This window comes from Homo sapiens, chromosome 1, assembly GCF_000001405.40.
Source record: "Homo sapiens chromosome 1, GRCh38.p14 Primary Assembly".
Classification (NCBI taxonomy): domain Eukaryota; kingdom Metazoa; phylum Chordata; class Mammalia; order Primates; family Hominidae; genus Homo; species Homo sapiens.
Window position 1 is genome coordinate 9,129,731 of NC_000001.11, and position 12,047 is coordinate 9,141,777.

The window sequence follows — 12,047 nt, forward strand, 5'->3', positions numbered from 1 at the left end:
GTCCCAGCACCTGTCCCTCCACGCTCCTCCAGGCCCACCCCTGCTCTTGCCAGGTGTCTGGGACATCCAGTCCTGTGAGAGGAAGGGCTGGCATTTTTAGGGCTAATATTACTTTCCCTCTTTTCAGCCAGCTTCTGTGTGTGTTGTGAGTGGAAGGGCGTGAGGATCAGAGGCATTCTTTCCACTAGCAACAGAAACAGCTCTCGGGTATGATCCTCATTCCTTCAGCCGTGATCCCGACGTGTTCACAAGTTGGTGGTGACTTGGGGAAGCCGGCGTTTCCACCTTTTCTTAAAATAAGCATGCTATTTTTTAAAAACCATAGCTAACTAGGTGTGATTTTTAAAAAATGAAATGCTAGGCAGGGCATGGCTTTTTCTTTAAAAATTTCAAACTTTGTAATTAAGATGTAATTCACATACCATAAAATTGGCCCTCTTAACCGAACAATTCAGTAGTATGTTCACAAGTTTGTGCAACCATCATTATTATGTAATTCTACAACATTGTCATTACTCCCAAAAAGAAATCCTTATCCCTCAGCTGTTAGCCCTCAGTTCTCCCCGACAGCCCTGGCAACCACTCTTCTACCGTGGATTTGCTTATTCTGCACATTTCCTGTAAATAGACTCATATGCTCTGTGGCCTTTATGTCTGACTTTTTTAACTTAGCACGTTTCCAAGGTTCATCGTAGCATATGCAGTGCTTCATTCCTTTTACTGCCCCGTAATATTCCATTATATGGATATACCACCTTTTTTTTTTTTTTCTAGAGACGGAGTCTCCCTCTGTCGCCCAGGCTGGAGAGCCGTGGCATGATCTCGGCTCACTGCAACCTCTGCCTCCCGGCTTCAAGCAGTTCTCCTGCCTCAGCCTCCCGAGTAGCTGGGACTACAGGCACACGCCGCCACGCCCGGCTAATTTCTTTTCTATTTTAGTAGAGGTGGGGTTTCACCGTGTTGCCCAGGCTGGTCTTGAACTCCTGAGCTCAGGCAATCTGCCTGCCTTGGCCTCCCAAAGTGCTAGGATTACAGGCATGAGCTACCGCGCTCGGCAGGATATACCACATTTTACTTAGCTATTATTCATCAGCCGATGGACATTTGGGTTGTTAACACTTTTTAACTATTAAGAATAATACCACTATGAAAATTTGCATACAAGTTTTTTTGTGGGTGTATGTTTTCAATTCTCCTATGTGTATACCTAGGAATGGAGTTGCTGGGCCATACGCAACTTTATATTTCACCTTGTGAGGAACTGCCAAGGTGTTTTCCAAAGTGACTGTACATATCATTTTACATTTGCACTAGCAATGAAGGTCGCAATTTCTCTACATTCTTCCAAAACTTTTTTTTGAGACAAGGTCTTGTCGCCGAGGCTGGAGTGCAGGTACAACCACAGCTCACTGCAGTCTCAAATTCCTAGGCTTAAGAATTCTCCCACCTTGGCCTCCCCAGTAGTTAGGACTTCAGGTGCATGTCACCATGCCCCACTAATTTTTTTTTTTTTTTTTTTTTGAGACTGAGTCTCGCTCTTGTTGCCCAGGTTGGAGTGCAGTGGCGTGATCTTGGCTCACTGCAACCTCTGCCTCCCGGGTTCAAGCGATTTTCCTGTCTCAGCCTCCTGAGTAGCTGGGATTACAGGTGTGCACCACCACAACCTGCTAATTTTTGTATTTTTAGTAGAGACAGGGTTTCACTGTATTGGCCAGGCTGGTCTTGAACTCCTGACCTCAGGTGATCTGCCCGCCTCAACCTCCCAAAGTGCTGGGATTACAGGTGTGAGCCACCTTGCCTGGGCCCCACTAATTTTTTTTTTGGAGATGGGGTCTCACTGTATTGCCCAGGCTGGTCTCAAACTCCTGCCTTGGCCTCCCAAAGTGCTGGGATTACAGGCGTGAGGCCACCTCACCCAGCCTTCCTACATTTTGTATTATCTTTGTGATAATAGCCATCCTAGTGGGTGTGAAGTTGTTCCTCATTGTGGTTTTGATTTGCGTTTCCCTGATGAATAATGCCCTCAAACATCTTTCCATGTGTGTATTGGACATTTGCATATCCTCTTTGGAGAAATGTCTGTTCAACTTTCTTTCTTTCTTTCTCTCTCTCTCTTTCTCTCTCTGTCTCTCTTTCTTTCTTCTGTTCCTTTTTTTTTTTTTTTTTTTTTTTTGAGACTGAGTCTCGCACTGTCACCCTGGCTGGAATGCAATGGCGCGATCTTGGCTCACTGTGACTTCTGCCTCTTGGGTTCAAGCGATTCTCCTGTCTCAGCCTCCCAAGTAGCTGGGATTATAGGCGCCAGCCACCACGCCCAGCTAATTTTTGTCTTTTTAGTAGAGATGGGGTTTCACCATGTTGATCAGGCTGGTCACAAACTCCTGACTTAGAGTGATCCACCCGCCTCGGCCTCTCAAAGTGCTAGGATTACAGGCGTCAGTCACCACACCTGGTCAATTTTCTTTCTTATTTTTAAATTGGTTTGTCTTTTTGTTGTTGAGTTGCAAGAGTTCTTTATATATTCTAGCTATTACACCCTTATCAGCTATATGATTTGCAAATATTTTCTCCCATTTTGTGGTTTGTCTTTTCACTTTCTTGATAGCATGTTTCAAAGGAAAAAAGTGTTTTTTGAGTATGTCCAATTTGTCCATTTTTTTCTTTGGTTGTTTGTGCTTTTGGTGTCACATCTAAGAAACCATCACCTATGCCAAACTCATGAAGGTTTGCATCTATGTTTTGTTTCTTTCCAATACCTCACTGTTATGGTTACTGTAGCTTTGTAGTGAGTTTTGAAATTGGGAAGGGAGTCCTTCAAAATTGTTTTTTCTTTTTTGGGGAGAGTCTTACTATCTTGCCCAGACTGGAGTGCAGTGGTTTGATCTTGGCCCACTGCAACCTTTGCTTCCCAGGTTCGAGCGATTCTCCTGCCTCAGCCTTCCGAGTAGCTGGGACTACAGGCGCCCGCTACCATGCCTGGCTAATTTTTGTATTTTTAGTGGAGGCAGGGTTTCACTATGTTGCCCAGGCTGTTTTCGAACTCCTGATCTCAAGTGGTCTGCCCGCCTCGACCTCCCAAAGTGCTGGGATTACAGGCATGAACCACCGCACCCTACCCTTCAACATTGTTTTTCTTTTCCAATATTTTGGCTATCTGACGCCCCTTGCGATTCCCTATCAATTTGAGGATCCGTTTTTCTATTTCTGCAAGAGGAATGGAAAAGATTGATAGAGATTGCTTTGATTCTGTAGATAAAAGTGGAGAATAATGCTATATTAATAATATGAGATCTCCTTATCCATGGACCAAGGATGTCTTTCCATTTATTTAGCTCTTCTTTAACTTCCTTTTAGTGATGTTTTGTAGTTTTTGGTGTACATTAGGTTTGATCTTGCATTTGATTCATAGAAAGCAAAGATTATCTTTGTATATCTAACTTTAAAAAAATTATTTTGGCCGGGCGCAGTGGCCTGTAATCCCAGCTCTTTGGGAGGCTAAGATGGGAGAAACACTTGAGAGGCCAGGAGTTTAAGACCAGCCTAGACGACTTAGTGAGACTCCATCTCATACAAAAATAAAATAAAGGCTGGGCATGGTGGCTCACACCTGTAATCCCAGCACTTTGGGAGGCCAAGGCAGGCAGATCACCTGAGGTCAGGAGTTCCAAGACCAGCCTGACCAAAATGGTGAAACCCCACCTCAACTAAAAATACAAAATTAGCCAGGCATGGATTTAGGGCGTAATCCCAGCTACTTTGGAGGCTGAGGCAGAAGAATCACTTGAACCCGGCAGGCGGAGGTTGCAGTGAGCCGAGATCACACCATTGTACTCCAGCCTGGGCAATAAGAGTGAAACTCTGTCTCAAAAAAAAAAATAAATAAAAATAAAAATAAATTGTTTTACGAAATATGCATATTGAAAAGTGCCTAAAATACAAATGTACAACTTATTAAATAATTATAAACAGCCATCCAGAGCAAGAAATATAACATTACCAGCGTACCACAAACCTCCCCAAACACCCCTTCCCCCTCAGTCATTTCCTTGCTGTTTTTCTGTTTTGTTTTTTGCGAAGGCTGGTCTTTAACTCCTGGGCTCAAAGGATCCTCTGGCCTCAGCCTCCTAAGTAGCTGGGACTACAGACAGGAGCCACCACTGGAGGCTCTTGCTTTTACCCATCCATGTTTGCATCCCTGAACAAAACAGTGTAGTTTGCCTGTCATTGAGCTTTATGTAAGTGGAATCATACTCTCCGTTCCCTTTTGTGTTTTCTGGTTTTTGTTCAATATTATTTTTGTGAGATTCATCCATCTTCTTACACCTACATGCAATTCATTCATTTTCACTACTGTATAGTATTCCATTGTATAAACAATTCCATGGTCTAAATAATTGTGTATTTATCCATTCTATTGCTTTTGGACGTTTGGGTTGTTTCCAGGTTTTGGCTATTATAAGCAATGCTGGAATAAGCATAGATTCTTTTTTAATCAGAAAAAAAGTTACTACACACAGTTATCAGCACTGTGAGCAAACATGTGTGGAGTTTGTTCTGCAGAGAGTTAAGAGCGGCTGCTTTCCTTCCAAGTCACTTGTGATCATTCAAAAGTCCCCTGACCTCCTCCTAAGAGGACCCCAGACCATAAACAGAACCTGGCTGAGAGTTCTGTCAGTGAAGCCTCTCAGCTTTTCACTGATGGAAATAGCTGCAAGTTTGGCTTTTGCAATCAGCCTGGGGCTTTGGACTATGGCAAGGCAAGAGTCTGGAATGGATTCTGCCTCCCTAGAGCTCGGTCATTTAATCGTTAGGGTATTTGGGAGAGGGGGGAGGAGATGGGGCACAGGAGAGGTCTTGTAGCAACCTGCTTTGTCAGCAGATCAATTTTGACTATATCTTTCCTGCTTTATTGAGATTGAAGTGCTTCGCCTAAATCTCCAAGTGAGCGGTTGGCTATTTTACAAGCTTTTTTTTTTTTTAATTTTTTTTCCCCACCTCCCACCTTGCTTACAGACAATTTTGATCAGGAAATTGCTTGGCTTTCTTTGCACTGGAAAACAACATTCAAAGAACTTTCATACTTCCTATACCTAGGGAAAAAATGTGAAAGACACGCAATGATACAGCTTCAGATTGCTTAGATTTAAACGTGAAGCTAATTTTACACTGTCCAGGGTCACGGACATTGTCTAGACGGATCCAGGCATTTATCAGGAGGTGGGAACTGTGACTCCCACCGCAGCTGCTGGGTGATCTCAAGTAGCCCAGCACGGTCTCCACTAAAGGGAGCTTGGGGTTCCTGACCCTGGGACTCTCAGAGCTCCTGGGGCTCCACTCCTCCTTGGGGGACTCTGGGGAGGTCTGACTGAGAAGAATAAACCTAGAGAAACTCCAGGCTCTGAGCTGTCTCTGATGATCCCTGCCCCATATGGCATGTGATGTCCCATTAGCCACATTTTCAATTTCCGGTCTTTCAGGCCCCCCTCTCCCGCCTCATTCTTTGGGGGAATTGGTAAGAAACCCAGATGCATCTTCTTTGGACCCCGAGTTGTTTCTCTAGTAGCTGTGCCAAGCCAGCTGGCAGTTGTCTGCCGCTCCATGTCCAGCGTCCAAAGGGGCCGTGTCCCGTGTCCTCACACATCATCACAACCTCGCTTCACCCCAGTTTCCTGGCTGCAGAGCTAGGGCCCAGAAAGGCCCCATCACAGTGGCGAGCAGCCCCCGGAGAAGGCTAGTTTTGGGGTTGCTTTCTCTTCCTCCTTCTCTCACCCCAGGAACTGGCATGAGATTCTCCTCTGACAAGTACAATAGAGGTGACAGTTTGGTGTCTCTCATTTGGAGGAACCTGAAATGATTTTTCTGAGGTCAACTCCAACATAAGTCACAAGCCACAAATGTGGTTTTTAAAACTGGAACAGAAGAGGGACTTTCAGCTTGGGCTGGCCACCTTCCTCATTTCCCTGTTTGAAAGGTGTGTGTGGCACAGGCTCTGCCACTGATCACTGCCCAAATCATGAAGGGAGGGAACTCATGGTGCTCCTTCCTGCCTGGGGACCATGGTGAGTGTATTAGTCAGGGTTCTCTAGAGGGACTGAACTAATAGGATAGATGTAAATATAAAGGGGAGTTTATTTTTTTATTTTTTGAGATGGAGTCTTGCTCTATTGCCTAGGCTGGAGTGTGGTGGTACAATCTCAACTCACTGCAACCTCTGCCTTCCAGGTTCAAGCGATTCTCCTGTCTCAGCCTCCCGAGTAGCTGGGACTACAGGCACACGCCACCATGCCCTGCTAATTTTTGTATTTTTAGTAGAGACACGGTTTCTCCATGTTGGACAGGCTGGTCTTGAACTCCTGTCCTCAGATGATCCACCTGTCTCACCTTCCCAAAGTGTTGGGATTACAGGCGTGAGCCACCACGCCCAGCCAAGGGGAGTTTATTAAGGAGTTTTTTGTTTTTTTGTTTTTTGTTTTTGAGGCAGAGTCTCACTCTGTTGCCCAGGCTGGAATGCAGTGATGCGATCTCCGCTCACTGCAGGCTCCGCCTCCTGGGTTCATGCCATTCTCCTGCCTCAGCCTCCCGAGTAGCTGGGACTACAGGCACCCACTACCATGCCCAGCCAATTTTTTTTGTATTTTTAGAAGAGACGGGGTTTCACTGTGTTAGCCAGGATGGTCTCGATCTCCTGATCCGCCTGCCTCAGCCTCCCAAAGTGCTGGGATTACAAGCGTGAGCCACCGCACCCGGCCAAGGAGTTTTAACTCACACAATCACAAGGTCCTACAATAGGCCGTCTGCAAGCCGAGGAGCAAGGAAGCCAGTCTGCGTCCCAAAGCTGAAGAACTTGGAGTTCGATGTTCGAGAGCAGGAAGCATCCAGCATGGGAGAAAGATGTAGGCTGGGAGGCTAAGGCAGTCTAATCTCTCCACGTTCTTCTTTTTTTTTTTTGAGATAGAGTCTCATGCTGTCACCCAGTCTGGAGTGCAGTGACGCCACCATGTCCAGCAACTTTTGCATTTTTAGTAGAGACAGGGTTTCACCATTTTGGCCAGGGTGGTCTGGAATTCCTGACCTCAGGTGATCCACCTGCCTCAAAGTGCTGGGATTATATACAGGTATGAGCCACCGTGCCTGGCCTTCTCCATGTTCTTCTGCTTGCTTTTATTCTGGCCGAGCTGACAGCTGATTAGATGGTGCCCTCCAGATTAAGGGTGAGTCTGCCTCTCCCACCCCGCTAACTGAGATGTTAATCTCCTTTGGCAACACCCTCACCGACACACCCAGGATCAATACTTTCCATCCTTCAATCCAATTAAGTTAACATTCAATATTAACCATCACAGTGAGCAACCATCAACCTCCAGCATCCCCAAGGGGGCCCTGCAACCCCTGGGCATGTTCACGTGACCATTGGGCCACACAGATAAAGAGCAGGGCAAGCCCGGCCAGCACCGTTGCTGGAGTCAGGAGCCTCCTCTTCAAGGGGCCCCATCTCGTGGGTGTATTTTCCTCCAGGAGCCTTCGGGTCTCAATGTGATGTGTTTAACCTCTCCCTGATCACCTTGAGCCTCGCCCTCCCCACCCCACACATTGAAGGCTGCTGCCCTCGCTTGCTGTGCACTCGGCCCTCTGACCTGCACGCACCTTAGAAACAGCCTGGTCCTGGTGGCCATTCCACTGCAGCGGCTCCCGGTGTGGCCACTGCCCCGTGGTTCCCAGCTGCCCAGGTGAAGAGGAGCCAGACTAATGAAAGAACAGCTAAGCCGCTAAAGGGAAAGGTTATTTTCTTCTCTACCTTTACTCAGAGCCTTGTTTTGCAGGTAAGACTGGCTTATGCTGCTGGTACCAGAAGAGAGGTTTTATGAGTTAGTGGAAGACCCAGGATCTACCCCTGAATTTCTGTCCGGGCCCCATTTGATGGACAGAATTTTCTTTCTTTCTTTTTTTTTTTTTTTTTTCTGAGATGAATTTTGCTCTTGTACCCCAGGCTGGAATGCTGTGGCAGGATCTCAGCTCACTGCAACCTCCACCTCCTAGGGTCAAGCTATCCTCCTGTCTCAGCCTCCTGAATAGTTGGGATTACAGACACACACCACCATGTCCAGCTAATCTTTGTATTTTTAGTAGAGATGTGGTTTTACCATGTTGGCCAGGCTGGTCTTGAATGCCTGACCTCAAGCCATCCACCCGCCTCGGCCTCCCAAAGTGCTGGGATTACAGGTGTGAGCCACTGCGCCCGGCCTTGATGGGCAGAATTCTAAACCTCCCCCTTCCCCAGCCAAGATTCCTGTCTCCTGGTTTTTCAACCAAATGCCAAACTAGGTACTGATGTGGGGGCATTTTTTTTTTTTTGAGACGGTGTCTAGCTCTGCTGCCCAGGCTGGAGTGCAGTGGTGTGATCTTGGCTTACTGTAACCTCTGCATCTGGGTTCAAGCGATTCTCCTGCCTCAGCCTCTTGAGTAGCTGGGATTACAGGCATATGCCACCATGCCCAGCTAATTTTTTTTTTTTTGAGACGGGGTCTCACTCTGTTGCCCAGGCTGGAGTGCAGTGGCATGATCTCAGCTCACTGCAACCTCCACCTCCTAGGTTCAAGTGATTCTCCTGCCTCAGTCTCTCGAGTAGCTAGGACTACAGGCGTGCGCCACCACGCCCAGCTAATTTTTGCATTTTTAGTAGAGGGGGAGTTTCACCATGTTGGCCAGGCTGGTCTTGAATTCCTGACTTCCAGTGATCCGCTCACCTTGGCCTCCCAAAGTGCTGGGATTACAAGCATGAGCCTCTGCACCTGGCTAGCATTTTGAAGATGTAATTAAAGTCCCATGGCTGGGCGGGCGGATCACTTGAGGATCCTTGAGGTCAGGAGTTTGAGACCAGCCTGGCCAACATGGTGAAACCCAGTCTCTACCAAAAATACAAAAAATTAGCCGAGCATGGTGGCGCATGCCTATAGTTCCAGCTACTCTGGAGGCTGAGGTGGGCAAATCGCTTTAACCCAGGAGGTGGAAGTTGCAGTGAGCGGAGATCATGCCATTGCACTCTAGCCTGGGCAACAAGAGTGAGACTTCGCCTCAAAAAAAAAAAAAAAAAGTCTTGTTTCAGTGGATCTTAAGATATAAAGAGATATAAAGATTAACAGAATGTGTGGTGGCTCATGCCTGTAATCCCAACACTTTGTGAGGCTGAGGTAGGAGGATCGCTTGAGGCCAGGAGTTCAAGACCAGCCTGGGCAACATAGTGAGACCCCTGTCCCTACAAAAAATTTAAAATTTAGCCAGATATGATGTCACACACCTGTAGTCCCAGCTACTTGGGAGGCTGAGGCAGGAGAATCACTTGAGACCAGGAGGTAAGCCATGATCAGGCTACTGCACTTCAGCCTGGGCAACAGAGTGAGACTCTGTCTCAACAAAACACAACAAAAAAACAAAGATGACCCAGATTGGTCTGGCCCAATCAGGTGAAATCTATGAAAGCAGAGTTTGGTGCCAGGTGTGGTGCTCACATCTTCATCCCAGCAACGTGGGAGGCTGAGGAAGACGGCTTGAGGCCAGGAGTTCAAGACCAGTCTGGGCAACATAGCAAGATCCCATCCCTACAAAAATTTAAAAATTAGCCAGGCGTGGTGGTTCACACCTGCAGTCCTAGCCACTCCATCACACCTGTAGTTCTAGCCACTTAGGAGGCTGAAATGGGAGGGTTGCTTGAGCCCAGGAGTTCGAGATTACAGTGAACCATGATCACGCCATTGTACTCCAGCCTGGGCGACAGAGTGAGACCCGTCTCAAAAAAAAAAAAAAAAAAGAAAAAGAAAAGAAATTAATTAACTAATTAAAAGCAGGGTTTTATTTGGCTAGTAGCGAAAAAGGAAGTCAGGGAGATTTAGAGCATGAGGGGAATTCTGTAAGCAGAGGGGTTTGGGGCAGTGAGGAGGAGAGATCATGCAGGGCTCAAAGTCAGTGTGAGGACTTCAGCTTGGATACACCAAGGGACACGGGAGTCACTGCAGGGCTGAGCAGAGGTGTGCCGTGGGCTGCCATGATTGAACACCAGTGGGCAGGCCGAACACGGTGGCTCACAACTGTAGTCCCAGCACTTTGGGAGGGAAGGCAGGCAGATCATCTGAGGCCAGGGGTTCGAGACCAGCCTGGCCAACATGGCGAAACCCCGTCTCTACTAAAAATATGAAAAATTAGCATGGTGGTGGGTGCCTGTAATCACTGTGGGAGGTTGCAGTGAGCTGAGATCACACCATTGCACACCAGCCTGGATGACAGAGCGAGACTCCATCTAAAAAAAAAAAAAGAAAGAAAAGTGCTGGAATTATAGGCATGAGCCATTGCACCTGGCCCATTTTAACCATTTTAAAGTATACAATTCAGTGGTGTTGATGACATTTGCAATATTGTGCAACCATATTTCCAAAACATTTCCATCACCTCCAACAGAAATCCCATACCCCTTAAGCAATAACTCCCCATGGCCTTCTCCCCCCAGCCCCTGGTAACCCTGATTCTACTTTCTGTCCCCATGAATTTTCCTATTCTGGATGTTTCACGTGAGTGGAATCCTACAATGTTTGTTCTTTTTGTGTCTGGCTCTCAATATAATGTCTTTGGGGTTCGTCCATGTTATAGCATGTGTCAGAATTTCATGCCTTCTTATGGCCACAAAATATTCCATTGTGTGGATAGACCACCTTTTGTTTATTATTCGTCTGTTCCTGGACACCTGGCTGTTTCCACCTCTTGGCTATGGTGAAGAGCGCTGCTATGAATAAGCAGTGATTCTTAATACTGGTTGAGGGGGAAGATAGCAGGAACGAGTGTCTCCCCTCCCCAGAAGCCCTTCAGAATCTTCCAGAGGATATGAGATTTCTTTTGCTTTGTAAAAGCGGACTGAATGCACGTTGGCTAAACTAGGCTGAAAACTCTTGACTTTAAAGCAAATGGGATTAAAAGGAAACTTTCAATAAGTACTATATATCAGTTACGCACAAAACATTGTTACATATTACATAATGTATTCAATAGGAACGTCTTACTTAAATGTTGAGCTAGGCCAGGCACGGTGGCTCTTGCCCGCAATCTGAGTACTTTGGGAAGCCAAGGCGGGAGGATCACATGAGCCCAGGAGTTTGAGATCAGCTTGTGCAACATAGTGAGACCCCCTCTCTACAAATAATTTAAAAAATTAGCCAGGCGCGGTGGCTCACACCTGTAATCCTAGCACTTTGGGAGGCTGAGATGGGCAGATCACTTGAGGTCAGGAGTTCGAGACCAGCCTAGCCAACATGGTGAAACCCCCATCGCTACTAAAAATACAAAAATTAGCTAGGCATGGTGGTGGACGCCTGTAATCCCAGCTACTTGGGAGGCTGAGGCAGGAGAATCGCTTAAAGCCAGGAGGTGGAAGTTGCAGTGAGCCAAGATCGCGCCATTGCACTCCTGCCTGGGTGACAAGAGTGAAACTCCATCTCAAAAAAAAAAAAAAAAATTAGCCAAGTTTGGTGGCACATGCCTATAGTTCCAGCTACTCGGGAGACTGAGGTGGGAGAATTGCTTGAGCCTGGGCAGTCAAGGCTGCAGTGAGCCGTGGTTTGCCACCGCACTCCAGTCTGGGTGACAGAGTGAGAGCCTGTCTCAAAAAAAAAAAAAAAAAAAGAAAAAAAAAAAGATGAGCTGGTAGAATATGTTCTGTGTATTGTTGGCTTATCATCTGTCCCTGTAGAATGCATGCTTGCTGAGGGCAGATATCTGGTCTATATTGTGCAGTGTCTGCCACACACAGTAGGCCCTCAATCAATCTTTGTGGAACACATAGTGGGAATATGGAGCAGCCAGATGACAGGGAAGTGCAGTGGGCCTTTGGCTGCCTTTCTAAGGCAGGATCTCAGCTGGCGGTCCAGCACCTGCAGGGCGACCAGGCACTTCTTTGTTTTTACCGACTTCTCATAGCAATCGCCCATTTTCTTTATTCATGAATAAAGATGGGCAATAAGTTTCAAGAGGTTGTTTTGTTTTGTTTGCTTTGTTTTGAGACAGGG

At 46.7% G+C, this 12,047-nt stretch overlaps 5 annotated features.

Moving 5' to 3' along the window:
* Positions 660-729: an enhancer, noted in NCBI's record as "active region_115". NCBI's record gives its function as "activates an Ori minimal core promoter by ATAC-STARR-seq in GM12878 lymphoblastoid cells {active_cell/tissue: GM12878}" and the evidence as "EXISTENCE:reporter gene assay evidence [ECO:0000049][PMID:35858748]".
* Positions 750-869: an enhancer, noted in NCBI's record as "active region_116". NCBI's record gives its function as "activates an Ori minimal core promoter by ATAC-STARR-seq in GM12878 lymphoblastoid cells {active_cell/tissue: GM12878}" and the evidence as "EXISTENCE:reporter gene assay evidence [ECO:0000049][PMID:35858748]".
* Positions 1,160-1,249: an enhancer, noted in NCBI's record as "active region_117". NCBI's record gives its function as "activates an Ori minimal core promoter by ATAC-STARR-seq in GM12878 lymphoblastoid cells {active_cell/tissue: GM12878}" and the evidence as "EXISTENCE:reporter gene assay evidence [ECO:0000049][PMID:35858748]".
* Positions 7,060-7,561: an enhancer, noted in NCBI's record as "H3K4me1 hESC enhancer chr1:9196849-9197350 (GRCh37/hg19 assembly coordinates)". NCBI's record gives its function as "activates a minimal SCP1, AML or CMV promoter by ChIP-STARR-seq in primed H9 embryonic stem cells {active_cell/tissue: H9 hESC(primed)}" and the evidence as "EXISTENCE:reporter gene assay evidence [ECO:0000049][PMID:30033119]".
* Positions 7,562-8,061: an enhancer, noted in NCBI's record as "H3K4me1 hESC enhancer chr1:9197351-9197850 (GRCh37/hg19 assembly coordinates)". NCBI's record gives its function as "activates a minimal SCP1, AML or CMV promoter by ChIP-STARR-seq in primed H9 embryonic stem cells {active_cell/tissue: H9 hESC(primed)}" and the evidence as "EXISTENCE:reporter gene assay evidence [ECO:0000049][PMID:30033119]".